The sequence below is a fragment of the Homo sapiens genome, chromosome 6 (assembly GCF_000001405.40).
Source record: "Homo sapiens chromosome 6, GRCh38.p14 Primary Assembly".
Classification (NCBI taxonomy): domain Eukaryota; kingdom Metazoa; phylum Chordata; class Mammalia; order Primates; family Hominidae; genus Homo; species Homo sapiens.
This window is the reverse complement of record NC_000006.12, coordinates 165,291,550-165,316,728: the sequence shown is the minus strand read 5'-3', so window position 1 is coordinate 165,316,728 and position 25,179 is coordinate 165,291,550. Positions and strand designations below refer to the sequence as shown.

General features: G+C 44.7%; 1 protein-coding gene and 1 long non-coding RNA gene across 12 annotated transcripts in view, besides 4 other annotated features; one reads left to right on the top strand and one right to left on the bottom strand.

Moving 5' to 3' along the window:
• LOC105378113 (uncharacterized) lies at positions 1-7,066 on the bottom strand. Of its 3 annotated transcripts, none has more exons than XR_943231.3 (6): positions 6,976-7,066; positions 5,996-6,130; positions 4,029-4,210; positions 3,047-3,193; positions 1,921-2,073; positions 1-106 (listed from the first exon to the last, which is right to left on the bottom strand). It is a non-coding gene; the product is annotated as an uncharacterized LOC105378113 (long non-coding RNA). The 3 variants fall into 3 exon arrangements; XR_943230.3 differs by having other exon boundaries at positions 3,047-3,189; XR_943232.1 differs by lacking the exons at positions 5,996-6,130; positions 6,976-7,066 and adding an exon at positions 5,229-5,291 and having other exon boundaries at positions 3,047-3,189.
• Positions 6,906-7,405: an enhancer, noted in NCBI's record as "H3K4me1 hESC enhancer chr6:165722813-165723312 (GRCh37/hg19 assembly coordinates)". NCBI's record gives its function as "activates a minimal SCP1, AML or CMV promoter by ChIP-STARR-seq in naive H9 embryonic stem cells {active_cell/tissue: H9 hESC(naive)}" and the evidence as "EXISTENCE:reporter gene assay evidence [ECO:0000049][PMID:30033119]".
• The window catches only part of C6orf118 (chromosome 6 open reading frame 118), a 29,942-nt gene continuing 11,886 nt past the window's right edge, over positions 7,124-25,179 (top strand). For 3 of the 9 annotated variants that reach the window (NM_144980.4, XM_005266838.3, XM_047418256.1), the window contains exons 1-6: positions 7,124-7,167; positions 14,433-15,160; positions 16,243-16,365; positions 17,227-17,286; positions 18,628-18,752; positions 23,258-23,316. In NM_144980.4, coding sequence (NP_659417.2) covers positions 7,143-7,167; positions 14,433-15,160; positions 16,243-16,365; positions 17,227-17,286; positions 18,628-18,752; positions 23,258-23,316 — 1,120 coding nt within the window. In that variant the 5' untranslated portion in view covers positions 7,124-7,142. Of the gene's footprint in view, positions 7,168-7,917; positions 8,166-9,185; positions 9,296-14,432; positions 15,161-16,242; positions 16,366-17,226; positions 17,287-18,627; positions 18,753-23,257; positions 23,538-25,179 lie in introns of those variants that run through there. The other 6 variants (XM_011535511.4, XM_011535509.2, XM_017010323.1 and 3 more) reach the window with 4 other exon arrangements.
• Positions 15,011-15,511: an enhancer, noted in NCBI's record as "H3K4me1 hESC enhancer chr6:165714707-165715207 (GRCh37/hg19 assembly coordinates)". NCBI's record gives its function as "activates a minimal SCP1, AML or CMV promoter by ChIP-STARR-seq in naive H9 embryonic stem cells {active_cell/tissue: H9 hESC(naive)}" and the evidence as "EXISTENCE:reporter gene assay evidence [ECO:0000049][PMID:30033119]".
• Positions 17,614-18,813: an enhancer, noted in NCBI's record as "BRD4-independent group 4 enhancer chr6:165711405-165712604 (GRCh37/hg19 assembly coordinates)". NCBI's record gives its function as "activates an origin of replication core promoter dependent on BRD2, P300/CBP, MED14 and CDK7 cofactors, and independent of BRD4, by STARR-seq in HCT116 cells {active_cell/tissue: HCT116}" and the evidence as "EXISTENCE:reporter gene assay evidence [ECO:0000049][PMID:35650434]".
• Positions 21,862-22,032: a silencer, noted in NCBI's record as "fragment chr6:165708186-165708356 (GRCh37/hg19 assembly coordinates)". NCBI's record gives its function as "represses an EF-1alpha promoter that drives an FKBP-Casp9 reporter gene in an ReSE screen in K562 erythroleukemia cells {active_cell/tissue: K562}" and the evidence as "EXISTENCE:reporter gene assay evidence [ECO:0000049][PMID:32094911]".

Below are 25,179 nucleotides of genomic sequence, written 5' to 3'. Positions count from 1 at the left end.
TTGGACAATCAGACAGACTCTGCAGCCAGACCATGCTGGGGTTCCCGCGTTGGCGCTGCGAGCTTGCAGAGGTCACCCTGCGTTTGCACTCGGTCAATTCCACTCCCTGCGGAAATTCAAAGGGCATAGTATGAGGGCCTCTGATTTCTGCAAATCCAGGCTGGAGAGGGCCACGTGCCCCACGTGCAGTGCCTGGACATCATCCCCCGGGAGCCACATGGGCCTCGCTTTTAGGTGTGCTTTCCTAAGAACTACATTAACATCAGGATGACGGAAAGCATCTGGGGAACTGGACTACTCCACCTCTGGTTTGCTTTTGCCTTCCCCAGCAACAGTGAATTTCTTTCCCCCTTGTCTATGGCAAGATTCCCTTGGAGCAGGTCACACACACCTTTTATCTATTTCTTTAGTTTTAAATTTACTTGTATATGTATGTATTTATGTATGTATATATGTATTTATTTATTTATTTATTTATTGAGACAAGGTCTTGCTCTGTCACCCAGGCTGGAGTGAAGTGGTGTGATCTCGGCTCACTGCAATCTCCACCTCCCAGGCTCAAGCAATCTTCCTGCCTTAGCCTCCCAAGTAGTTGGGAACCACAGGCACACACCACCACACCTGGCCAATTTTTTTGTACTTTTGGTAGGGGTTTTGCCATGTTGCCCTGACTGGTTTTGAACTCCTGAGTTCAAGTGATCCGCCTGCCTTGGCCTCCCAAAATACTGGGATTACAGGCGTGAGCCAATCCACCGAGCCCAGACACACCTTTTAGACACATACCAAGTCATGAAATCAAATGTCGCCTATTTCCCAGACTTTCAACATTTTTCACTCCACTGGCCCCATTCCCTCAACATGGGATCCCTCCAATCTCTCTAATCATAAACAAATCGACCAATGAAACACAAACAACAAAAAACAGACAACGATTTGAACCATCTCCCCCATCCCTAGCCAATGTTCTACCTCCAGTGTCAGGCCACACAGGAGTTTTGGAAAAGGGGGGTCAGGTCTGCACCACATTCTCTAGCTTGATGCCAAGAATTCTCTTCCTCTGGCTCTTTGTCACCTCCTCTGGAAGGTTGCAGTCAAAGAGCGCCACACTCTAATCCCCAGAACTGGTGAAGATGTGAGCTCACTGGGCAGAGAAGATATGGGGCTGCAGGGGGGATCAGGGCTGCTGATCAGCTGGGCTTAAAATAGGAAGACGAGCCTGCACTATCTAGGCTGGAGCAGTGCCATCACAGGGCTCCTTTTATAGAGAACAGGCCAAGTACGGTGGTTCACGCCTGTAATCCCAGCACTTTGGGAGGCTGAGGCGGGCGGATTCCCCAAGGTCAGGAGTTCGAGACCAGCCTGGCCAACATGGCGAAACCCTGTCTCTATTAAAAATACAAAAATTAGCCAGGTATGCCGGTGGGTGCCTGTAATCCCAGCTACTTGGGAGCCTGAGGCAGGAGAACTGCTTCAACCTGGGAGGCGGAGGTTGCAGCAAGCCAAGATGGTGCCACTGTACTCCAGCCTGGGTGACAGAGTGAGACTCCATCACAAAAAAAAAAAGGAGAGAACAGAGAGGCAGGAGGGTGTCTGGGATGTGAGAAAGACTCTCCCAGCCTCGCCGGCTTTGCAGATGGAGGAAGGGCCCAGGAGCCAGGAACCAGGTGGCCTCTAGATGCTGAAAAAGGCAAGGAAGGGGACTCTCCTCAGTAGCCTCCAGGAGGAAGCAGCCCTGCCCACTGCCCACACCTGGATTTTAGCCAGTGAGAGCCATTTCAGACTTTGGACTTCCAGCAATGTGAGAAAGTAAATTCATTGTTTCTTTCAAGCTGCTAAGTCTATGGTTATTTATAATGGCAGCCACAAGAAACAAATAGAGGCCTTCCCTGGTCATCTTATGTAAAATAGTTTAAGACTCACCACTGCAGTTACAATGTACTTTTATAACATCTTAGGGTTTTTTTTTTCCTTCACAGTTTCATTGTAGATTTTCCTTCTCTCTTGACATCTTGTTGGCAACCTTGTATTGGCAAAGATCAGACAGTGTGGTGACTTTGTGTTTGAAAATGCCATCTGGTAATGAAGAGGTGGAGAAGCAGGCACTCTCATTACTGCTGGGATTGAGCAAACTGTAATAACCCTTCTGAGAACAATTTGATGCTCTTTCTCAACATCCCATGGGCACAAACTTGGCGACTCCACCCCAGGTGCTCAAGTTCTGTGTTTACCTACAGATTCACACACACAGGAAGTGACTGGAGGACCAGCAGTGGGATTTAATAGCAGAAGAATGGAAAGAGCCTATATGTCCATCAGTGGTCTGTGGCTGGAATAAATCACAGTAGAGCCATACAATGGAACACTGCCCAGACATGTAAAAAGTCAGGTGCTCTTTATGCACTAGTCCGGAATGATTTCCAAGAGAAAAAAGCAAGGTGGAGGAAGTGGGAGTGGCCCGCTGTCATGGTGGAAGAGAGAGGACGGAGAGATGGTGTGAGTGAATTTTCTTGTCTACACGGGCTGCCTGTGGGAAGTCGTATAAGCAGCTGGTCAGATGGGTGGTCTCTGAAGGGAGTGACCAGAGGCTATGGGGTGTGCTGGGGGGATTTTCATGGCCCACATACCTCTCACTTAATGGGGGAATCATGATGTCTCCTGTCTTGACCCAAGATGCCCAAATCATTTTCACAGTTGAAAAAATAATGGAGCTTTTGGAAACAGGTGTAGATGAGTGATAAACAACAGTTTGAAAATAAAGAAATGCAGTTTTTATGCACAAATGTCATTGAATGAAGTTTGTTTTACTTTCCAAAGGAGGAAAGAGACTTGCTGGGGAGTTGGGGCGTGGGGAAGGGATGTTAGGAAGCCCTTCAAGAGGTGCGTTCTGACTGCACCATTTCTTCATCGATTTTTCAAACTTCCAGAGTCTTATAGTTATTTTGCCCTCAAATACCACCCAAAAATGAAGCTATATTGCAGAAAATTACTTTTAGGGCAAAATCCAGGCTCCACAGGAGAAGCTTTGGGATAAGTGGAAATAGCCCACCTGTGCCACAGATAACAGTGCCGTAGGAGGCTCCCTCACAGAGAACGCAGGTGGACCGAGAGCTTCGTGTTTCCTCCTCCTTGGCAGGCTGGCCAACAGCTTCCTTGTGACAGACTCTGACCTGGATCTGTTGTATGGAATACCTGCCTTAGAGAGGTGTAGAGTCAATGCAAAGGTCTTGTTTATATGTGTTTTTGAGATGAGAAAAATGAACATGTTAATTTTCTGATAGAAATGTTCCTATAGAAAAGCAAAGATGAATGATGCAAGAGAGAGATGGCGAGAGTGAGAGAGAGGAGAGGAGAGGAAAAGAGAGACAGATGGAAAAACAGACCAATGAACCGGGGCCCTTGAAAAAGCAAGAGGGCAAGAGAGCCCAGGAGCAAAGCACTTTGGCCTTGGATGGGTGAGAGGCTTTTCCCTGACACATCAAGAGGAGGGTGGAGAATTTGGAGTGTCACTGCCAGCCACCATTGCTTACGTGCCTAGAACTGGAGATGTCATTCTTGGCTCTTAGCCCTGTTCCCTTCATTCTCTATGAAGTATAGCAACAGTCATTTCTCTAGAAAGAAGTGATGATACCCCACTCTGTAAAACATTTTTCAGTGACTCTTGATGACTCTTCAGCCATCTTCAGGACCAAACTGAAACTCCCTCCGGACTCTGCCCCTGCCCCATCCAAGAATTCTCATCCCACCCCCAACCCCACATCCTCCTGCCAGGCCAGCATTTGCTTTGCATTCTATCTAAAATTTCTTAAAAGCATTATTCAGTTTCTCCAGAGCTTAGGAAGCACAAAGATGTTTTAAGTTATTGCAAGTCGGTTCATTTTTGCACAGCAGAGTCTAATAGCTGAAAAGCAGTAACTGGAATCACTTATTTGTGACCTCTTCCCTTTTGGAACCCATCAGTTCTTCTGACTGATGCTCCCCGACCCTCCCCCATGATTGACAAGGAACTCCCGCTCGCCCATCCTGCACACCTGGAACAGGTGGTATTTCTGGAAGCCTCCGCAGCCTATGAGATGTGAATCCTTCACTCCTTCCTCTGCCGGTCCACGCCCATCTCCACTGCTGCTCACATCACACTGCATTTTACTCCCCAGTGGTCTCCTCTTCACCGAGCATTTTTAAAGTAGGGGATTCATTGTGCATTTCTGCAGTCCTAGCAAAGAAACAATAGTAGACAAAGATTTTTAATTTTTAATTTTTTTTCTGGAATGAGGGGTAGGATGAAAGGACGGGTGGATGCGTGGATTAGTTGGGATGGTAGAATGGCCTCACCCTTGGGTTGCATTCAGTGGCCAAGTGTTTTAGGATGTGTTCAAGCGCTATCTGGAGTGGATAAGCAAAACAGCAGCCATAGTCACTGAAATATGTGCAGACGCAATTTGCCTGCTGAGTAGTTCTTGGCTATTTCTACATAGAAGTCTGGCCTCAAGGAAGATCCAGTGTGTTTCTGGCACATCAATTCATTATGCTGATAATGTTGTCGTTAAGTATGTTTCTGCCTCAAATGCTTTGATGAAATATTTAGCAATAGGAGAGCCACAGATGGGCTTTTAAGGCCTGATATTGATTTGATCATTGACTTTCTGATCTTGATAGCATATAAGTAAGGGGTGGATGAATTAATTTAACTGCATTTGTGTTCTGCCATAAGGGATGACTTGGGAGAAACTGAGGCCCTAAAAACAAATTATTTTCTTTTGATCAAAACCAATACTCTGCAATTCCACATAATGTCTACGCTAGGGAGCAGGAGTGAGGGTAGCACAGGCTGAACCCCAGAACTGAGCAGCTCTCGTGGTGGGATGCACTCCTCATCACTATCCCTCCCAAGGCCGGCAGAGGGGCCCTTTGTCCCTCCTGCCCATCTGTGAAAGAAAAGTGGAGAACACCTATTGTCACCTCTCTGCCTGACTGCGCAGTGTGGAAGCGATGGACTATTTTAGAAGTTATGAGATTGACTAGTTTACTAAGGATTTCTGAGCATAGAGGTTCATTTCCTCATCTCTAATTGTTGGTTATCTAAAAACCTGGCCTGCTGCCCATGTGAGCCTACTTCATAATGAGCTGCAGGTGAGGGGCACACAGTGTTTCCTCTCCGCTGCCCATGTGAGCCTACTTTATAACGAACTGCAGGCGAGGGGCACACAGCATTTCCTCTCTGGTGCCCATACCTAGACATCCTTACGCAGCTTGGGCATCTTCATGTCGACCTTTCTGTCATAGTTAAGATGCCTAACTACCATGCACGTTCCAGAGAGACAAGCAGTAAACACTCCGGTAACCTTTTCACAGGTGGAATTCCAATGCACCTGGTGATGAAGCCACCTGAGCAGGTGAAGGTCCTGGCAGCTTCTTGGTTTCCAGAATGTTCACGTTTCAAGTATCTGTCCAGTGTTATGTTTGGAAGGGAAGGCAAGGGTTAAAGAGAGATAACTGGCAGCTCTCCAGCGATTCGGGTTCTATGTCCAGCCTAAGACCTGCAGAGATGGGGGACCAGGTTAATGCCAGTGCTGACCGCCGCTTATAGGCTGGGGCAATTATAGGCCTGGGCGGGAGGGGACTAGGGGGTATAGCCTGCTTCCCAGAAGATGTTGATAAGATGTTCCATGACAAGGTGGTTTGGCCCTGTTTTTGGGGGGATGTGATAGAATGTTCCTGTTTTGGGGGGCATGTGATAGAATGTTCCTTGGATCTTTGCCCAGCAGAGGATATGATGAGGATGTTCCTTCAGCTGGGGCTTTGCCGGGCAGGGGATAACAAGAAAGTCAGGTGGTTGGGCAGGACATTTCTCGTGGTCCGACCCCCGTGGAATATTTCACTTTGACCAGGGTCTGCGAAATGGGGCTGGGATTACAAAATGGTGCAGTTTGAACTAACAGGCAGCATCAACAGAAACAAAGAAACAAAAAACACTGTGTGCCCCCCTCATTCACAGTACCGTGTAATTCCATCCTCACAACCAGTAACGCCTACATCACCGTCTTTCTCATTTCAGAGCTGTAAGTAGTAAGGGTTGGCGTCAAAGTTACTTCTAAGAACCAGCAGAATCGCCCTTCCAGTACTCTCTTTCTGGCTGCAAGACATATAAACAGAATTACAGTTTTCAAAGATAGAGGTTTTAGCTTTTCCCTCCCTTGGCACATGGGATCGCCTGAGGAGAGAGGATGGACTTTGCAGTCATACAGGTGCGCACTTACACATCTGTAAATTCCACTGTCTGCTAACTGACCTTGGGCAAATTACCCCACAGGATCTCAGTTCCCCATTAGAAAATACATAGATAATAATAAAAAGTGACTAAATGATCACTTCGTGACTGGCACCTACTCTGTGCTGGACCTCCAGGTGCAGTTGGGTGGGTTACGCACTGTCCAACCTGCACATTTCTATAGCAGATGCCTGAAGACCAGTTATCTTTTGCCCCCTGGGCTTTGGAAAGGATTAGGGAATGCGAGGATACTTTGATATTTTTCAGATCACGGAAAGTGTTTCACTTATTTCATAAAGCTGATGTACCTTTAAAAACAAATGTTTTATTTACAGTATTGTATGGGGGATGGGACTGGTTCCAGGACCACCACGGATGCTCAGACCCAAAGATACTGTAGTCCCTTATATAAAATGATGCAGTATTTCCATATAACCTATACGCATCCTTCCATATGCCTTACATCATCTCTAGATTACTTGTAATACTTAAGACAACGTAAACGCTATCTAAGTAATTGTTATACTATAGTTTTATTTGTATTTTTATTGCTGTATTGTTATTTTTAATTTAAAACTTTTTTCCAAATATTTTAAATCTGTGCTTCGTTGAATCTGTGGATGTGGAACCCAGACAAAGAGCACCGGCTGTATTAAAATTAAAAAAATTATTAACCAAAAAAAAAAAAAGTAAAACAAGCAAGCAATCACCAATACTCTCTGTTCCAGAAGGCACAGAAGAGGGGAGGAGTTGGGGGGAGGTTCCGCAGCAGGGGCTGTGCCTGGTTGCTCAGCAGTGAAGGAAGCCAAGGAGGGCTTAGAATGTTTGTGGTTTCCACGGCGACAGCCCAGCCCAGGCAGCTGGAGGGAAGGAAGCGATGGCGGAGGAGCGGGAGCCTGAATGTAAGTGGCCTGGAGCGGCTCTTGCTGGCTTGTGAGATTTGCTTGATGTTCAATTGTGGAGGGATGGGCTTCTGAAGACTGATTTGAAATGTGAAAATCTTTTTCTGGTGGCTGCACGCCGGCTCCAGGGTCACTAGGGCTGAGGACTGGATTGGGGTTGTGCTGCCTCCTCAGAGAATCTGAAACCAGCGCGCAAAGCACAGAGGTGGGGGGTGCGCGCCATGTGGGCGTGGGAGCCAGCGAGTGTGGACCTGCGCGGACGGACGCGCCGTGTGTTGGAGTCTCCGGAAGCCTGAAGAGGAGGAGGAGGAGGAGGGACGAAGCGGCAGGTTGCAGGCTGTTCAGAGGGTGATTTTAAAAAGCCGCACTTCAGAGCATTCCCTGGCATGCTGCCTTTCCGCGCTCCTATAAATGACCACAAAGCTCAGCGCGTCCACATTCATCAAGTCAGAAGTCCTTTATTTTGTCTCTGTGACCCTGAAGGCTGGTGCTATTAATGTGATTTTACGCATGGGAGTCTGTGGGGAGGTAAGCCCAGGTCTTTTGACTTCGAAGCCTTCGCTTTTTCCCACCACCCGCCATGTGCTGGGACTGAAACAGGACTACCGACTGATTCAGACGAAATTTGGGCAGAGAGAAAACTTGTTAGACTGAGCAAAGCAGTCTCAACAAGAAAATGATTTAAAAGAAATTTTATTGTGTGATATCAGAATGCATTTAGTGCTCTTCATGTACAGGTGAGTGGGCAGGTTGAGAGCGTGGTCTTGGAGGCAGCTGACCATCTGACCACCTGAACCTCAGTTTCCCCTCCTGTAAAGGAGGATGGGACGGCGCCTACCTCCTGGGCTGTTGTGGGGATTGAATCAGCATGCCGCACACCGGCTGTGGAATAGACAGTGGGAGTCATTTTAAAAAGGGGTCTTTCAGTCCTTGGGGAGTTGTCTTTTCTCTTCTTTGTATACAAAGAGCTTCAGGCTGTCACCAGGCTGGACTCGAGGGTAAGGTCAGTTTTGCTGCTTTCTAGGGGATCTGGGGAAGAACCCCTTCCAGGCCCAGTGGACTTGTTGGCATGACCCTGTCGCTTGTGGTGGGGGAATTGTGGGTTGTCAGCAGGGGCCCTGGCCCTAGGAAGTCGCCTCCTGTCTGGCCTGTGGCTTCCACCTGGGATCCAGCGAGTCTGGAAGCTTCCTTTCCTTGCAACTTCCCTGACCCCCTTTCTTCCACCTCTCCCTTCTGACTCTTGCCAGAGAAACTTCTCTGCTTTTAGGGGCTCACGTGATTAGATTAGAGCCCTGACCATCCAGACTAATCACTTTATTTTAAGGCCCATCACCTGAATTCAGCTGGTAAAGTCCCCTTTCCCTGACCTCTGGCGTCAGGGTGGCCAGCTCTGGGTCCCATCATTCTGCTTCCACATTTCACCCTGAGACAGAGTCCATGTGAGGCATGTGCTTCTCCCTTGGGCTCAGGTCCCCTGTGGCCCTGGGTCTGCATCTCACTCCCTGTGGGATTTCCAGGTTCCTGGGGGCTCACATTCATCCCACCCCTGAAGCACACAGTGCAGCGTGGGGCAACAGATGTTTATCCGTGGGTTCAGGAAAGGCCAGATTGCAATCTCAGTGGAGTCTGAAAAGATTCTCCGGCTGGTAGGATGGACACAGGGGAGTGATGGACGCTCTTTGTGAGTTCTGCAACGAGTTCTGTGAGGGGAGCCCAGGACTCGAGGACAGACCCCCACTGGCCAGGCCTGTCCTGAGGCTCCCGCTCTCCTCCAGCAGAGAGCCTGTGGGTCTGGGCCTGCTGCTCTGTTCTTGGAAGTCTTTCCAGAAGTACATTTCTTAGGATGTGCACTGACTTTAGGGTAGGAGCAGAGAAGGCAGAGGGCAGAAACGCAGAGGGAATATGAATGTTCTAGAATGAGACCAAGGAGAATTTCCATGGGATTCTCAGTTTCCCAGAGATCTGACAACATGGGACAGTGATTAAAAAAAATTTTTTTTTTTTTTGAGGCAGTCTCACTCTGTCGTCCAGGCTGGAGTGCAGTGGTGCTATCTCGACTCACTGCAACCTCCACCTCCCAGGTTCAAGCAATTTTGGTGCCTCCGCCTCTGAGTATCAGTAATTACAGGTACCCGCCACCATGCCTGTCTAATTTCTGTATTTTTTGTAGAGACAAGGTTTTGCCAGGTTGGCCAGACTGGTCTCGAACTCCTGATTGCAAGTGATCCACCCGCCTCGGCCTCCCAAAGTGCTGAGATTACAGGCGTGAGTCACTGCACCCAGCCTGAGTTGTAATAATTTTGACATTAAAGGCCTATTGTCCTATTCTGGGGTTGGTGGGGTGGGGGGGGTGGGGGGATGGATACATTTCCAAAGAAACAAACAAATAAAAAACCTCTGTTTAAAAATGTTTAATACTAAATTTTGGCAATATGTATTAACCCAAATGTAGCCTAAGACCTATTACTACATGTTCCTATTCAGTACACATTCAAAACTTGGTTTGGTTTTACTGACAGCAAATTTGTTTTCAAATCTTTGTAAGAGAGTCATAATTTCCAATAAATTCTTAAAACTTTCTTTTTTGTTTGTTTGTTTTCTCTCTCAGGCAGAGAGGCAGGATACACACACACACAGACACACACAATGTTTTCAGATGGGAAAATGATTAAAATATTTATTGCCACGATGGGGATTCATGGCATATATTACAAGAATGTGGCAGACAGAAGTGGAAACTTCTGTCTGGAGCAGCTCTTACTACAATCAAAAGAAAAAGCATTTGAAGTGGGAAAATGATTGTGTTGATTGACTTGCTGATGGCTTCAAATCCTTCTTGGAAATAAAATAAACAAAGGATAACACAACAGCAATGAAGTCGCCTCCTTCTTCCATCTTCCATAGAGTTGGTACAAGGTGCCTTTTAGAGCTTTAAGTGTTCATGCCTTTGACGAATTACAATGATTGTTGCCTTGGAGAATTTGTTCTGTTAATCATTTCTTTTTTTTTTTTTTTTTTTTTTTTTTGCATTCACCTAGAAATTCCATTTCTATGAATATTATTCTTTTTTTTTTATAATTTTTTTTTATTATACTCTAAGTTTTAGGGTACATGTGCACATTGTGCAGGTTAGTTACATATGTATACATGTGCCATGCTGGTGCGCTGCACCCACTAACGTGTCATCTAGCATTAGGTATATCTCCCAATGCTATCCCTCCCCCCTCCCCCGACCCCACCACAGTCCCCAGAGTGTGATATTCCCCTTCCTGTGTCCATGTGATCTCATTGTTCAATTCCCACCTATGAGTGAGAATATGCGGTGTTTGGTTTTTTGTTCTTGCGATAGTTTACTGAGAATGATGGTTTCCAATTTCATCCATGTCCCTACAAAGGACATGAACTCATCATTTTTTATGGCTGCATAGTATTCCATGGTGTATATGTGCCACATTTTCTTAATCCAGTCTATCATTGTTGGACATTTGGGTTGGTTCCAAGTCTTTGCTATTGTGGATAGTGCCGCAATAAACATACGTGTGCATGTGTCTTTATAGCAGCATGATTTATAGTCCTTTGGGTATATACCCAGTAATGGGATGGCTGGGTCAAATGGTATTTCTAGTTCTAGATCCCTGAGGAATCGCCACACTGACTTCCACAATGGTTGAACTAGTTTACAGTCCCACCAACAGTGTAAAAGTGTTCCTATTTCTCCACATCCTCTCCAGCACCTGTTATTTCCTGACTTTTTAATGATTGCCTTTCTAACTGGTGTGAGATGATATCTCATAGTGGTTTTGATTTGCATTTCTCTGATGGCCAGTGATGATGAGCATTTCTTCATGTGTTTTTTGGCTGCATAAATGTCTTCTTTTGAGAAGTTTCTGTTCATGTCCTTCACCCACTTTTTGATGGGGTTGTTTGTTTTTTTCTTGTAAATTTGTTTGAGTTCATTGTAGATTCTGGATATTAGCCCTTTGTCAGATGAGTAGGTTGCGAAAATTTTCTCCCATGTTGTAGGTTGCCTGTTCACTCTGATGGTAGTTTCTTTTGCTGTGCAGAAGCTCTTTAGTTTAATTAGATCCCATTTGTCAATTTTGGCTTTTGTTGCCATTGCTTTTGGTGTTTTGGACATGAAGTCCTTGCCCACGCCTATGTCCTGAATGGTAATGCCTAGGTTTTCTTCTAGGGTTTTTATGGTTTTAGGTCTAACGTTTAAATCTTTAATCCATCTTGAATTGATTTTTGTATAAGGTGTAAGGAAGGGATCCAGTTTCAGCTTTCTACATATGGCTAGCCAGTTTTCCCAGCACCATTTATTAAATCGGGAATCCTTTCCCCATTGCTTGTTTTTCTCAGGTTTGTCAAAGATCAGATAGTTGTAGATATGTGGCATTATTTCTGAGGGCTCTGTTCTGTTCCATTGATCTATATCTCTGTTTTGGTACCAGTACCATGCTGTTTTGGTTACTGTAGCCTTGTAGTATAGTTTGAAGTCAGGGAGTGTGATGCCTCCAGCTTTGTTCTTTTGGCTTAGGATTGACTTGGTGATGCGGGCTCTTTTTTGGTTCCATATGAACTTTAAAGTAGTTTTTTCCAATTCTGTGAAGAAAGTCATTGGTAGCTTGATGGGGATGGCATTGAATCTGTAAATTACCTTGGGCAGTATGGCCATTTTCACGATATTGATTCTTCCTACCCATGAGCATGGAATGTTCTTCCATTTGTTTGTGTCCTCTTTTATTTCCTTGAGCAGTGGTTTGTAGTTCTCCTTGAAGAGGTCCTTCACATCCCTTGTAAGTTGGATTCCTATGTATTTTATTCTCTTTGAAGCAGTTGTGAATGGGAGTTCACTCATGATTTGGCTCTCTGTTTGTCTGTTGTTGGTGTATAAGAATGCTTGTGATTTTTGTACATTGATTTTGTATCCTGAGACTTTGCTGAAGTTGCTTATCAGCTTAAGGAGATTTTGGGCTGAGACGATGGGGTTTTCTAGATAAACAATCATGTCGTCTGCAAACAGGGACAATTTGACTTCCTCTTTTCCTAATTGAATACCCTTTATTTCCTTCTCCTGCCTGATTGCCCTGGCCAGAACTTCCAACACTATGTTGAATAGGAGCGGTGAGAGAGGGCATCCCTGTCTTGTGCCAGTTTTCAAAGGGAATGCTTCCAGTTTTTGCCCATTCAGTATGATATTGGCTGTGGGTTTGTCATAGATAGCTCTTATTATTTTGAAATACGTCCCATCAATACCTAATTTATTGAGAGTTTTTAGCATGAAGGGTTGTTGAATTTTGTCAAAGGCTTTTTCTGCATCTATGGAGATAATCATGTGGTTTTTGTCTTTGGCTCTGTTTATATGCTGGATTACATTTATTGATTTGCGTATATTGAACCAGCCTTGCATCCCAGGGATGAAGCCCACTTGATCATGGTGGATAAGCTTTTTGATGTGCTGCTGGATTCGGTTTGCCAGTATTTTATTGAGGATTTTTGCATCAATGTTCATCAAGGATATTGGTCTAAAATTCTCTTTTTTGGTTGTGTCTCTGCCCGGCTTTGGTATCAGAATGATGCTGGCCTCATAAAATGAGTTAGGGAGGATTCCCTCTTTTTCTATTGATTGGAATAGTTTCAGAAGGAATGGTACCAGTTCCTCCTTGTACCTCTGGTAGAATTCGGCTGTGAATCCATCTGGTCCTGGACTCTTTTTGGTTGGTAAACTATTGATTATTGCCACAATTTCAGAGCCTGTTATTGGTCTATTCAGAGATTCAACTTCTTCCTGGTTTAGTCTTGGGAGAGTGTATGTGTCGAGGAATTTATCCATTTCTTCTAGATTTTCTAGTTTATTTGCGTAGAGGTGTTTGTAGTATTCTCTGATGGTAGTTTGTATTTCTGTGGGATCGGTGGTGATATCCCCTTTATCCTTTTTTATTGTGTCTATTTGATTCTTCTCTCTTTTTTTCTTTATTAGTCTTGCTAGCGGTCTATCAATTTTGTTGATCCTTTCAAAAAACCAGCTCCTGGATTCATTGATTTTTTGAAGGGTTTTTTGTGTCTCTATTTCCTTCAGATCTGCTCTGATTTTAGTTATTTCTTGCCTTCTGCTAGCTTTTGAATGTGTTTGCTCTTGCTTTTCTAGTTCTTTTAATTGTGATGTTAGGGTGTCAATTTTGGATCTTTCCTGCTTTCTCTTGTAGGCATTTAGTGCTATAAATTTCCCTCTACACACTGCTTTGAATGCGTCCCAGAGATTCTGGTATGTGGTGTCTTAAGTGGTTGCTCTGAAGGACTAAGCTGATCAACAGCGGCGATTCTCTAGCATCCCTCTGCTGAAAATATTGGCTCCAGTATTCAGCCGCCTTGGTTGACTCAGGGAAGGATGGTTTGCTTCTCAATGGACAGAGGAAGTTTCTCTGAGGAGGGTATGGATGGGCCTGCTGCCCTTTGGCCATCACAGTACACAGTGTCCCAGAAAGAAACTCTCCTTCTTAGGTTAGAAAACAGCAAATGAAGGGGGCAAATCTGGGCTGCTCTTGTTCTATCTGAAGTGTTCAGTAACGTGTTACCTGTACTATAGACCTGCAGCAAAAATGGGTAGAATTTATGAAGCGTCTCTTCTAGGCCATGTGCCTCTTTGCCAAAAGTGGTTCCACCTGGGTGTCAATCAACAATTTTGATTGAGATGATGACTCTGATGTTGCAGAGGAGGCAACTGTGGTTCAAAAGCCCTGGGGGTTGGCTCTGTAGGGATGCTGCAGGAAGAGGTGTGTGTGCCATTGGTCATTGAGGGGTTTAGTCAGGGACTGCTGAGACAGTTTATCATTAAGTGAGAATACCCCCCAAACCCTTTCTGAATTCCCCGGCCGGTGAAATACGTTAAAGAAGACATCTTTAAGCATCATCATTAAGAATTATAATTAAGATTGTACACTTTTCTTTCAGAGCCTTTGCTAGTATTGTAAGAAATACTCTGCCAAATCAAGATAGTCTGTCTTTTTCTTATTGGCTTTGACGGTCCTGAGCTTTCGGGTTGACTTGCACATCCTGGGGGCCTGGGCGCCTCTCATCTGCAGCAGCACACTGGGCCGGGCACGGGTGCCTTTGACTTTTAAGGGCTGGGCCATGTACTCTGTTCGTCTGTTTCTCCATAGACCCTCTTTTGGTCAGGGGCTACGCCTCTCAGCCAGTGCACCAGCTGACTTACTGTGGAACTAAGAGCGATCCCTAAGAGCCTCCTTTTCTTTTCTGACCAGTGTACCTGAAGTGGAAGCACTGCGAGACGCCAGGCGTGAAGACCCTGTGTAATCTGAAGCACTGCGAGACGCCAGGAGTGAAGACCCTGTGTAATCTGAAGAAACTTCTGAATCGGCTTCAGAAAGACCACCGGGAGGACGTCTACCTCTACATCTCTGGACACCTGAACCCCAACAAGCTCTACCAGCCTCCGGAGACGATCTTACAGCACTGGCCCAATGCCCACCGGCCCAAGGGGGAGCGCGCCTCTGAGGTGGGAGAGCCGCCCGCAGGGAAGGTGGCGAGGATGAAGGAGGCCCTGGCCCACTTCACCATCCACACGGCCCTGGTCCCCAGTGAGGCCCAGGACACCCCGCTGTTCAGGTACCTGAACCCCCAGGCCTCTCTTTCCCACACTTCAGAGGAGGATTTCCTTCCAGTGGAGGCTGTCAGAGAGGGGAAGGAAGAAAAGAAAGGAGGCCCTCCTGGACGGGGCCCTCCTGGATGGCGCAGGAGGGAAGAACTCCGGCTGCCCGACTTGAAGGTGCTGTGCTACCAGGAGGCCGGGTCCAGAGGCACCAGGGACCGGCACCACTATGTCAGCTCCTACCTGGCCGGAGCCACCAGCGCAGACAGGTACAGGATGTTCCTGCGTTTCCAGAAGGAAGTGCTCGCCAAGCAAGATCTCCTGAAGAATGACTTCACTGGGAGCAAGGCGGCCGCGGGCCACGAGAGAAAGCTGCAGCAGGTGAGGAGGGCAGCCCTGCGGTGGTCTCAGGGAAGAGCTCTCAGGGCATAGCTCTCGGTGCAGTGCTCTCAGGGCACAGCTCTGGGGCAAACCTCTCGGGGCAGAGCTCCGGGGCATAGCTCTTGGGGCAGTGTTCTCGGTGCAGACCTCGCGGTGCAGTGCTCTCTGTGCAGTGCTCTCGGTGCAGTGTTCTCGGTGCAGTGCTCTTGGTGCAGCCTCTGGGTGCAGTGCTCTCTGTGCAGTGCTCTCGGTGCAGTGTTCTCGGTGCAGTGCTCTTGGTGCAGCCTCTGGGCGCAGTGCTCTGGGTCAGGGACAGCCACGACGGTGAGCTGAGAGGCTCGTCCTCTGAGGCTTCCCGGATACGTCCAGGCAGGATGCAGCACTGTACCAGGTGCCGAGAGCATTAGCACCTTCAATGGGGACAGTTTGGGTGAAATGAAGGAGGGCGCCTTCTGGGAACTGGTCAGCTGGGGGAGGCCCATAGCGGACGCATTGGAGGCCATGTGGCTGCAACAGTAAATCAGATGTTCGTAGGTCAGCAGAGGGGTCTGAGAGAGGGCTTGCCTGGCTGACGGTGGAAGAACCGTGAGGGCAGAGGGAGAGCTGATGGGCACTGTCACGCCCTGAGGTATGCCCAGGCAGCACATGTGTACAGAAGATCTACGGTAGGCTGCCGACTCAGAGGAGAACAGCTGACTGGAGGCATCACCTCCAAATGGGGACGATGCACGAAAGAGAAGAAAATAGCAGGCCCCCAGGAAGCAGCCAGGCCTTGGGGTTGGAAGAGAGAAAGGGCCTTTGGGGACTGTGGAGGCGGAGAGTGAATGCTTGAGCACGGGGAGCAAGGGAGTCAATAAAGAAGAAAAGATTTTTTTAAAAAAATCCCACATCTTGGGTGACCAGGGAAACAAAGAAGCTCAGCAACTGGTGGGAGGGATCAGAACCCCCGAGACTGGCCCCCTGTGCCGCCCCGCCCACTCGCCAGGGTGATGGCAGCTGTGTCCTCACTGACTCCTGAGAAATTCGGTTCTGGAAGAAAGATGAAGCCACCCTGAAATGGGCTGACTCTGTTTTTCCTCCAGGAGCTCCAGAAAATTTGCACGTGCAGCCCCCAGCAGTTCAACAGACTGCACGTCTTTGGAAAAGTCTTTGAAGATATTTGTAACAGTTCTTTGATATTTGGTGATCTCTTGAAAAAAGTTAAGGTAAGAAACATACATCTTCAGCATAACAGTTGAGAAGCTTGCATGAGGTTCTGTGTACAAGAATGATCTCAAGCCGCACTGAAATTCTGCTAGGTATCACAGGCCCCCTTCTACAGACAGGGACCATCACTCCCAGAGACTCGAGGTCATCTGCCTGCAGGCACGTAAATTGTAAGGGGCCATGTGGAATCAACACCCAGTTAACTCATTCCTCAAACCCATATTTTCCCACTAAAGCTTCCTAATTATGCATAACCGTTTATAAATTTTATATAACTTAATTATAATTCTAATAAATTAATAATTTAACTTTACATGTGTAATGTTATTTGAATCCTTATGGAATTATAGGTTTGTTGCAATTTCATGATGAAAGTGATTTTTGGGTGCTGTGGCTCATGCCTGTAATCCTAGCACTTTGAGAGGCTGATGCAGGCAGATCACTTTAGGTCAGGAGTTCAAGACCAGCCTGGCCAACATGGTGAAACCCCATCTCTTCTAAAAATACAAAAATTAGCTGGGCGTGGTGGCACATGCCTATAATCCCAGCTACTCAGAGGCTGAGGCAGGAGAATCGCTTGAACCGGGAGGCAGAGATTGCCTCAATATTTTATATTTTATTGTATGGTATTTTATGATATTCTGAGGTAATCAATACTTAATGCTCAAATATGCTTCAAAGATGGTGTGATTTTATCAATGTGAGCATGTATACCGTTTAATGCATTGTGGGAACATTTTATATTTTTCTGAAATGATCTAAATGAACATTCTTGACTTCCGTATTATTTATACACGTGAAACACCTGCACTGTGGCCTCCTCATACATGGCCAGTGGACTTTTGTTTGTTTCTGTACAGGATGAATATGAACTCTACATGGCAACGCTCCTGGAGTCCCAGCCTGCAGCACAGTACGAGGTGACGATCGATCACAAAGAGCCTGAATAGAGCCTGCTTATCCATAGCTTCATATTTCATGAGCAGTGGAAACCTTTCTGAATCCAAGAAGCCCCATGTGTGCCCCATAATTTAGAATAGCTGATATGTTCTTTGTTATAGATGAGTTTTATACTGCCTTAATAACATTATTGATAAAGAACTTTCCTTTTGATTGGCATAGCATTATTTATACTCCCAAACAAGCGACATAACTATCTATGTATAAATTGGGAATATAAATGGTTCTCTTCCAGTAATTTCCAAAAACCACTGTCCAGCCATTGTCCTGGCGAAATCACTGAGAATGCATTGTGATGGCTGGTGTGCTGTAAGCTGACTCAAACCCCATGATCTCTTTGTTTAACGGGTGACAGCGTTCCAGGTGTTCCCTTCCAGGGTCGGGTTAAACATGTGATTGGTCAAATAAGAAAATATACTGCAGGAATAACTTTATCACTTATAAAACCTAAGAAAATCTAACACTGTAGCTAAGATAGCTAAGATAACTTTGGTATTTTGAATTCAATACACTTTAAAGATTAATTTTACTTCATAAATTAGGAAAGATAGTTGCTTCTTTTATACATGAGCAAAAGATCACAGCATTGCAAGGAGATCAGTTCTAGTTTGCTTCTTCATGTAAAATAAGATGTGAGTACCATTTTCTTTGTGCTGAGCCTTTTCATAACACAGAAGCAGCCTTTGTCTTCACAAGAATGAGCAAAGCCTCCAGTGGGGAATTTACCTTGTTCCTTACGTTTTGAGATTGAGTCATAAGTGGCATACGTCCCTATCTCGGTCAAATGTGAGCATGAAAAAATTCCCAGGCCAGCAGGGCCCTGGATGCCTCTTTCTGTGTCTGTAACCCTGGCAACCCATCCCCTAAGAAGCAGAGATCTCTGTTGCTCCCCATTTGAGCACAGCACTGCTTTACATCTGCGGATGGCAAGCACATTCACATGGCTTCTCATTCACCTAGAGGAAACGATTGCGGTGCCACTGACAATGTGCCTCCAGGACTTTATCCAGTATGTCCTTCCCCCCACACGGGCCAACAGGGAAATTCCCTACCATCTTTCCATTTCTTAGAAAAATAAACTTTTAACATATTGAAAAAGGTATTTTACCGGGAACTTCACTGATGGGCCATCCCTCCCCCAACGGCCCTCCCTCCCTTAAATCCTCCCAATTTACCTATTTTAACTAGAACTTATATGTTAACCCAGGGCACCTTGAAAACGCATTAATGACAAATAAGAAAGGGAGTCCTCCCGCCCTCCCTGTGTGCTTGTCTCACCTCATGTACCTGGTCCTGCCTAGGCTCTTCTGGCTCAACTCAAGGCGCTGGGGCAGAGGCCGGTGAAGACGGCGGACATGGATCTCGCCAGGGAAGAGCTGAGGATGCTCGTGACAGCCACAAAAGCAGCCCTGGAGCAGAATGATAGGTGAGGCATGAGGGACGGATCTGATCTATGTTTAGATTCTTCCGTAACAAGGTCTGAAACCGCTGTGACAAGCCTACGGTTACATTGATTTCTGCGTTGCTGAAAACATGCTACTTTTGCTAATATCATGCCTGTCATCTGGCTATTTCTACAGGCCATCACCTATGTGACTAAGACATTCTGCTAAGTATGGTGTGTCCATGGGGGGAGTTTGGGCAGGTTTCTCAAGGAATTGCCTGTCTTTTCTGGTGGTCCCCTGAAGACTGACTGATAGGCGAGAGGGCTGCAGATCTAAGACACCTTATATGAATGCCCCTATTGTTTTTTAACTTACAAAGCTCTTCTAATATAACCTCTCTGTATCATTTTCCGGGGTCGAATAACAATTGGATAGGGCATACTCTTTGTATGATTTGAAAAAAGATTAAAGGAAATCTGCAACATCCAAAATATCTTCAAGAGCATGAAACAAGAAACAAAACCAAAAAACAAAATTTGGCTTCTAGTGTAACCAGAAGACAGAGAACTGTTGTATTTGTTGTTCCAATTTGTTCTTCTTTTTTTTTTTTTTTTTTAATGGAGACTTGCTCTGTCGCCCAGGCTGGAGTGCAGTGGGGTGATCTCAGTTCATTGCAACTTCCATCTCCCGGGTTCAAGCCTCCTGAGTAGCTGGGATTACAGGTGTGTACCACCACGCCCGGCTAATTTTTGTATTTTTAGTAGAGACAGGGTTTCACTGTGTTGGCCAGTCTGGTCTTGAACTCCTGACCTCAAGTGATCCACCCATCTCGGCCTCCCAAAGTGCTGGGATTACAGGCATGAGCTACCACACCTGGCCTCCAATTTGGTCTTAAGGTCTCTCTCACAAGGGTGGCTATGAACTCTAGCCCTCCCCTGATGGAGCTTTGGGGGCTGGTGGAGGATATTCTCAGGGTACCCTTCATGGGATGTGTCTTCATCCTGGCCTTCAGGCTTAATGTCCAAGTGTCTGACCTGTGACCAGATATTCCTCTCACAAGAAACCCGACTATACTGGCAGAAGCCCTCGTGGTTGTTGTCTGGTGTGTATCTAGTTTATTCCTACCAAGATAGCCAGTCTCTAGGGGAGCCCTGGCTGGTAAAAGGTGACATTCAAGTGTGTCCATCAGGTGAGGCACAGAGAAGGCCACAGAACAAAGCACATTAAATAGCAGATTTGTTACTTACGGATCCCAGAGAAAAGAAGGCAGCGTACCTCTCAGGGGTGGTAGGAAGTGGGGAGCTGCCTGAAACACACTCGCTCCACCAGCAGGTAGGGGAGCAAGAGAGAGAGTGAGGACCGATGGACCAAGTCTTTTGTTTGGGTCCAGAGCGGGACCCAAGCGGGTTTTCCATGGGGAATTCTGATCGGTGGGTTTAGGGCAAGAAGGCACGAGTTCTGTGGGGTCACACTGTGATGGAGAGTGCTTTCTGGGTCACTGCAGCATATTCTCATGGCCCCTACAGGGTGCGGGGTCAGTGGGTTGAGGAAAGTAGGTTGTATTTAGCTGTCTCATAGTGGGTGATCCCTGGGAGGTGGTTGTTTAAGGCAGATATCTGAACTGACCATTTTGAGGCACTGGGAGGAGGAGAAGCACGAGAAACTGTGTCAAGCAATGGTGACTGAGCCCTGCTTCTGGAGTGAGAAAATTAAACTTCTGTTCAAAGTGAATGCCAAGGCAAAAAAAAAAAAAAAAAAAAAAAAAAACAAAAAACGAAAACAACAACAACAACAACAAAAAACTGAATTCATTGCAAATGCATCCAAAGTTTAAAAATGACTGAAAATAGGAAAGAAAACATTCAGTGGCAGTGAACCAGTTGCCATGTTCCTGCTGCAAAGCTTTGTTTGTGAGAGCAAGTGAGGTTTTGGGAAAAGTTCATGGAAGAGAGAACAGTGGAGATAGATGGAGGCCTAAAATTGTTCCAAAGCCACTTCCAGAGAGAGAATCCACATAAGTGAGAAAGCCACACAACTGTCCTGCTGGGCTGATGGCAGCATTGACTATGATGGCAGGGGTGTGGTGGTGGGGGTGTGGTGGGGTGGGGTTACTTGGGAGAGGGTAGAAGTGAGAAGACAACTTTGAAATGGTAATAATACATGTGAGAAGGGGGTTAAGGGAAAGGGAGCAGCATCCTTTAGAAATGTCCAGTGAAGGCAATAGGGAGCAAGAAAGGAAAGTTTAGAAACCTATAAAAAGGAAAATCAGGGTGCACACAACCCTTCCACATACTGTCCTTTTCCCCTCTAAACAAGCAAGGTATCCAGGACTATAGAAGGAAATCAAAACAACACCGAAAAAAAAAAACAATAAATCAATAATAAAATAGTATAAATTGCTACACTGACGGAAAAGTATCCATTTGAATTAGCAATCTCACATACTACTCCAAATCACTAGTCCAGCTGGCAAAAATGCAGAGGTGTAAACAATCTTTGTCTATACAAACTACTATGAGAAAAGAACAGAAAATGAGAATCCAAATGATTTACCTGATGAAAGTCCCTGCCTTACCAAGGAATAGTAATAATAAAGTTGAACAAGAAGAAAACTGTAGCACAGCACTCCAAGCTAAATTACATGTTCCCAAAGAGCATTTCAGGACATGAAAACAATCTTGAGTCATAAATTTAAAAACTAAGGAGAGAAATCAACAACAATAAAGAAGAAATAAAACAAGATAAAAACCGAGGAAAAAATAGTTGAAAAAGTCAAAATTATATCATAGGTCAAGACTAAATTCTGAAATACCCAAGGAAGAATAGTTTTGAATGAAAACATAATAGGCATTGGGAAAAAGTAGAAAAATATTTAAAAGAATGTAAATGAGATACAGAAATCAAAAGTCAGAAAAAGTAGATGAAATAGAACATAAGCAAATAATGTCCAATTCACGTATAATTAAAGTCCCTGAAGAAGAAAAACAAAGCAATAGAACAAAAACCTAAGTAATATTTAAAACTATAATATGTAAAAATTTTCTGGAAATAAAACTTTCTTACTACATATATTGAAAAGACTTTCATCATTATTATTAATCCATTGAATCCCCAGTTTCTTAAATTTTTTTCTTTGAGACAGGGTCTTGCTCTGTTGCCCAGGCTGGAGTGTAGTGGCATGATCATGGCTCACTGCAGCTTCAACCTCTCAGGTGCAAGAGATCCTCCTACTTCAGCCTCCCAAGTAGCTGGGACCACAGGCACCACACCTGACTAATTTTTGTATTATTTTTAAGTAGAGCTGGGGTTTCACCATGTTGCCCAAGCTGGTCTCCAACTCCTAGGTTCAAGTGATCCACCTGCTTTGGCCATTCAAAGTGCTGGGATTACAGGCATGAGTCACCACACCTGGCTCCAGTTTCTTAAAATTGAGGGTCATAATAACCACCCTATTTCTCTCTTAATCTGTGATGAAAAGAACTAACATGTGTAAAACTCTTAAAATGTTAGGCCCTTTGTAGACATTTGGCTTTAAATTATTTGCATGTGGATGTTTTAAATCAAATCACAGTGTTGTCCTCAAAATATGTAATACCTGTTAGACTCCTTTTTGTTTTCTCTTTAAATCTATAAAACATAAGATAGCTGATGTAGGTTACTCTGAACCAAGCAGAGGAAACAAGGAGGTTTTTTTCTGTTTTTTAAAGTTTCTTGTATTATTTACTTATTTATTTACTTTTTTTTTTTTTGTTTTTTTTTTTTTGCTTTTTTAAAGACGGAGTCTGGCTCTGTCTCCCAGGCTGGAGTGCAGTGGCATGATCTCGGCTCACTGCAACCTCTGCCTCCCGGGTTCATGCCATTCTCCTGCCTCAGCCTCCCAAGTAGCTGGGACTACAGGCACCCACCACCACACCCAGCTAATTTTTTGTATTTTCAGTGGAGATGGGGTTTCACCGTGTTAGCCAGGATGGTCTCCATTTCCTGACCTCGTGATCTGCCCGCCTCAGCCTCCCAAAGTGCTGAGATTACAGGCATGAGCCACCATGCCCGGCCTCTTGTATTTTATTTTTAATTTAAACATAGTGAAATTTGTAAATCGTATCTGTTGCACAGAATAATAATACACAGGAAAGATGCCGTGTATTTCAGCATCAGGAAAGTCTTTCCATAGCCCTTAACATGTTGTTTGCCTCTGAGTGTAAAATGCTACGTTTTTTTAAATTATCTTTTTTAAATTTTTTTTGCCTTCTTCCTTCTTAGCAATTGCATTAACAAAAAATACCAATAAATTCTACAGGAAATCATTTATTTTAAATTAACTAACTCTTTAAAGGCTTATGCAATCTTGGTAAGACAGTATTATTTTGTTTAACTTGACTGATTTAGGCTGTCATTTAATAAATATCTTCAGAGTATCTGTCGTGTTAAAAGTAAGCAGATCTATTTTAATTTCTCAACTGTAAGAGACTTGTGGTGTAACCCAGACAAAAGACAAAAGATATAATGGGGATCTAATATTTCCCTATTGTTTATCCTCACATTGTAGACTCAGAAGTGAACTGGAGATGGAGGTGGCATTGCTGCAGTCTGCAAAGGAACGATCAGGCAGGTGTCTGTGTGATGTCCTTCCTTATGGGTGCTTTGCTGTGACCTTCATTATTTCAGCTGCTGCAGTGTGGCTGCCTGTCTGTCAACTTGGAAGATGCTGATGCTCCCTCTGAGTTTTGTTGCGAGAATTCAACATATTCACCCACATCACCCAAGATCACAGGGCCTGGCACGTGGTGGTGACTGCCTGTTTGTTCTTCATCTTTTCATTATTACATGTGAGGAAAAATACGCATTTCATGAGGAATTAATTGCATTTTATGAATATTTTATGAAATAGATATTAACATTTTACAAAATAGATATTAAAATTATTTTGAATGTATACAATTTAGAATGCAATTATATGATAAAAATAAGTTTAAGTATCTTGCTCATTAACTTTGACTGTTTTCCAACTTTAAATGAAATGCCATTTTCCCTCCAAGTTTGTTAAACACTCACTCATACTCTGTTTTTAGATACTTTTTCTCAGCGTCTGGTAGGATATGCTCACAGGACTATCCTGTTTTGAATTCTTAGTAGAGCTTGGCCTCGAAGATCCTTGCCAGAGTGCTTTTACCGCCTTTTTCCCCCTGCTGCCTGTTTCCTCTTTTCTACCTATGAGCAGCACGGGTGCTGTTAACACTGCTGGATCCTGCACAGGTTTCTTGTCGCCTGATTTGCATCCCCTTGTCCCGCCTGTTCTCTGTCCCAGGCTGACTCTGCTTCTCCTTCCATCCCTTCTCAGGGCTCAGAGGTCACCTGCTTCCCTCCTTCTTCCACCACGTTGTTCGTTCTTTGTAGAGTTCCTCTCACAGACGTGAAATAGGACCCATGCTTGGTGTTTTCTGTTTCCTTGCTTTCTCTTAAAACAGGCCCACGATTTAAAAACAAAACAAAAAAACAAAAAAGCAGAAACTTAAGGGCTTTACTTTACTGCTAGCCACTAATAAAAAAATGGCAAAGATTAATAAAAATAAGATGCAGTGACGAACTTTCCAGAGCTCTAGTAATCTTTCTTCGTGTTTGATCCTAGCCCACTGTTCCCATCACCCTTTCATTGCGATGGAACAAACCTGGTGCCCCTGGTTCTTCCTGCTTTATTATTTTCCCAAAGCTTTCTATCTCAGGAGCCTGCTCCTCCAATCATACACATTTGCTGTGGAATGTCCCCATTTTCATACCTCAGTCTTTCCCTATAGTTATGTCTTGAGGGTAGAAAAGGGTGAGGTGGAGGTCATTCCCTGGGCTTGACATTCCTTTTTGCCTCTTTGAACTCAGCTGATGGTTTTGGGCTGAAACCTTCAGCTTAGGTTAAGGCGGAGAACAAATACTTTATTTTGTAGTTTCTTTCAGTTTGTGTAGAAGCTTAACTATGACCATTTCTATCCCCTCAGCTAGCTCATCATGTGCCTACTTAATTTCCCCAAATTTCAAAATTTAATGTCAAAGTTTCTCCTCTTCCAAATTTGGCAAAGTTGAATGATGGCTGTTACTTCCACCTTGTTTACTATCTACCAGGAAGGGTTATTAATATTTCTAACTCTTTTGTTCCCATCGAAAAGTAGTAATTGTTTTTTTCTCAAAAAATTAAGTCTCACCACTCTAATTAGTATATAACTGTGTTGATTGATGACAAATTGGCCTTAGCAGTGGATCACTTGATGTCTCCATTTCCTTTCTGTACTCCTTAAATGTTGATATTCTTTGGAGTCCAGCATCTCTTTGGAAGAGTTAACATTTTTTTAAATTCCAAATCTATTTTACCTGCTAAAAACCCTTCTTTTTTGCTTGAGATCTGTATATCCAAGTGCCTATTAGACGTGGCCTCTTGAGTGTCCCATAGGTATTTCAACATGTCCGAGATTAAACTCATCA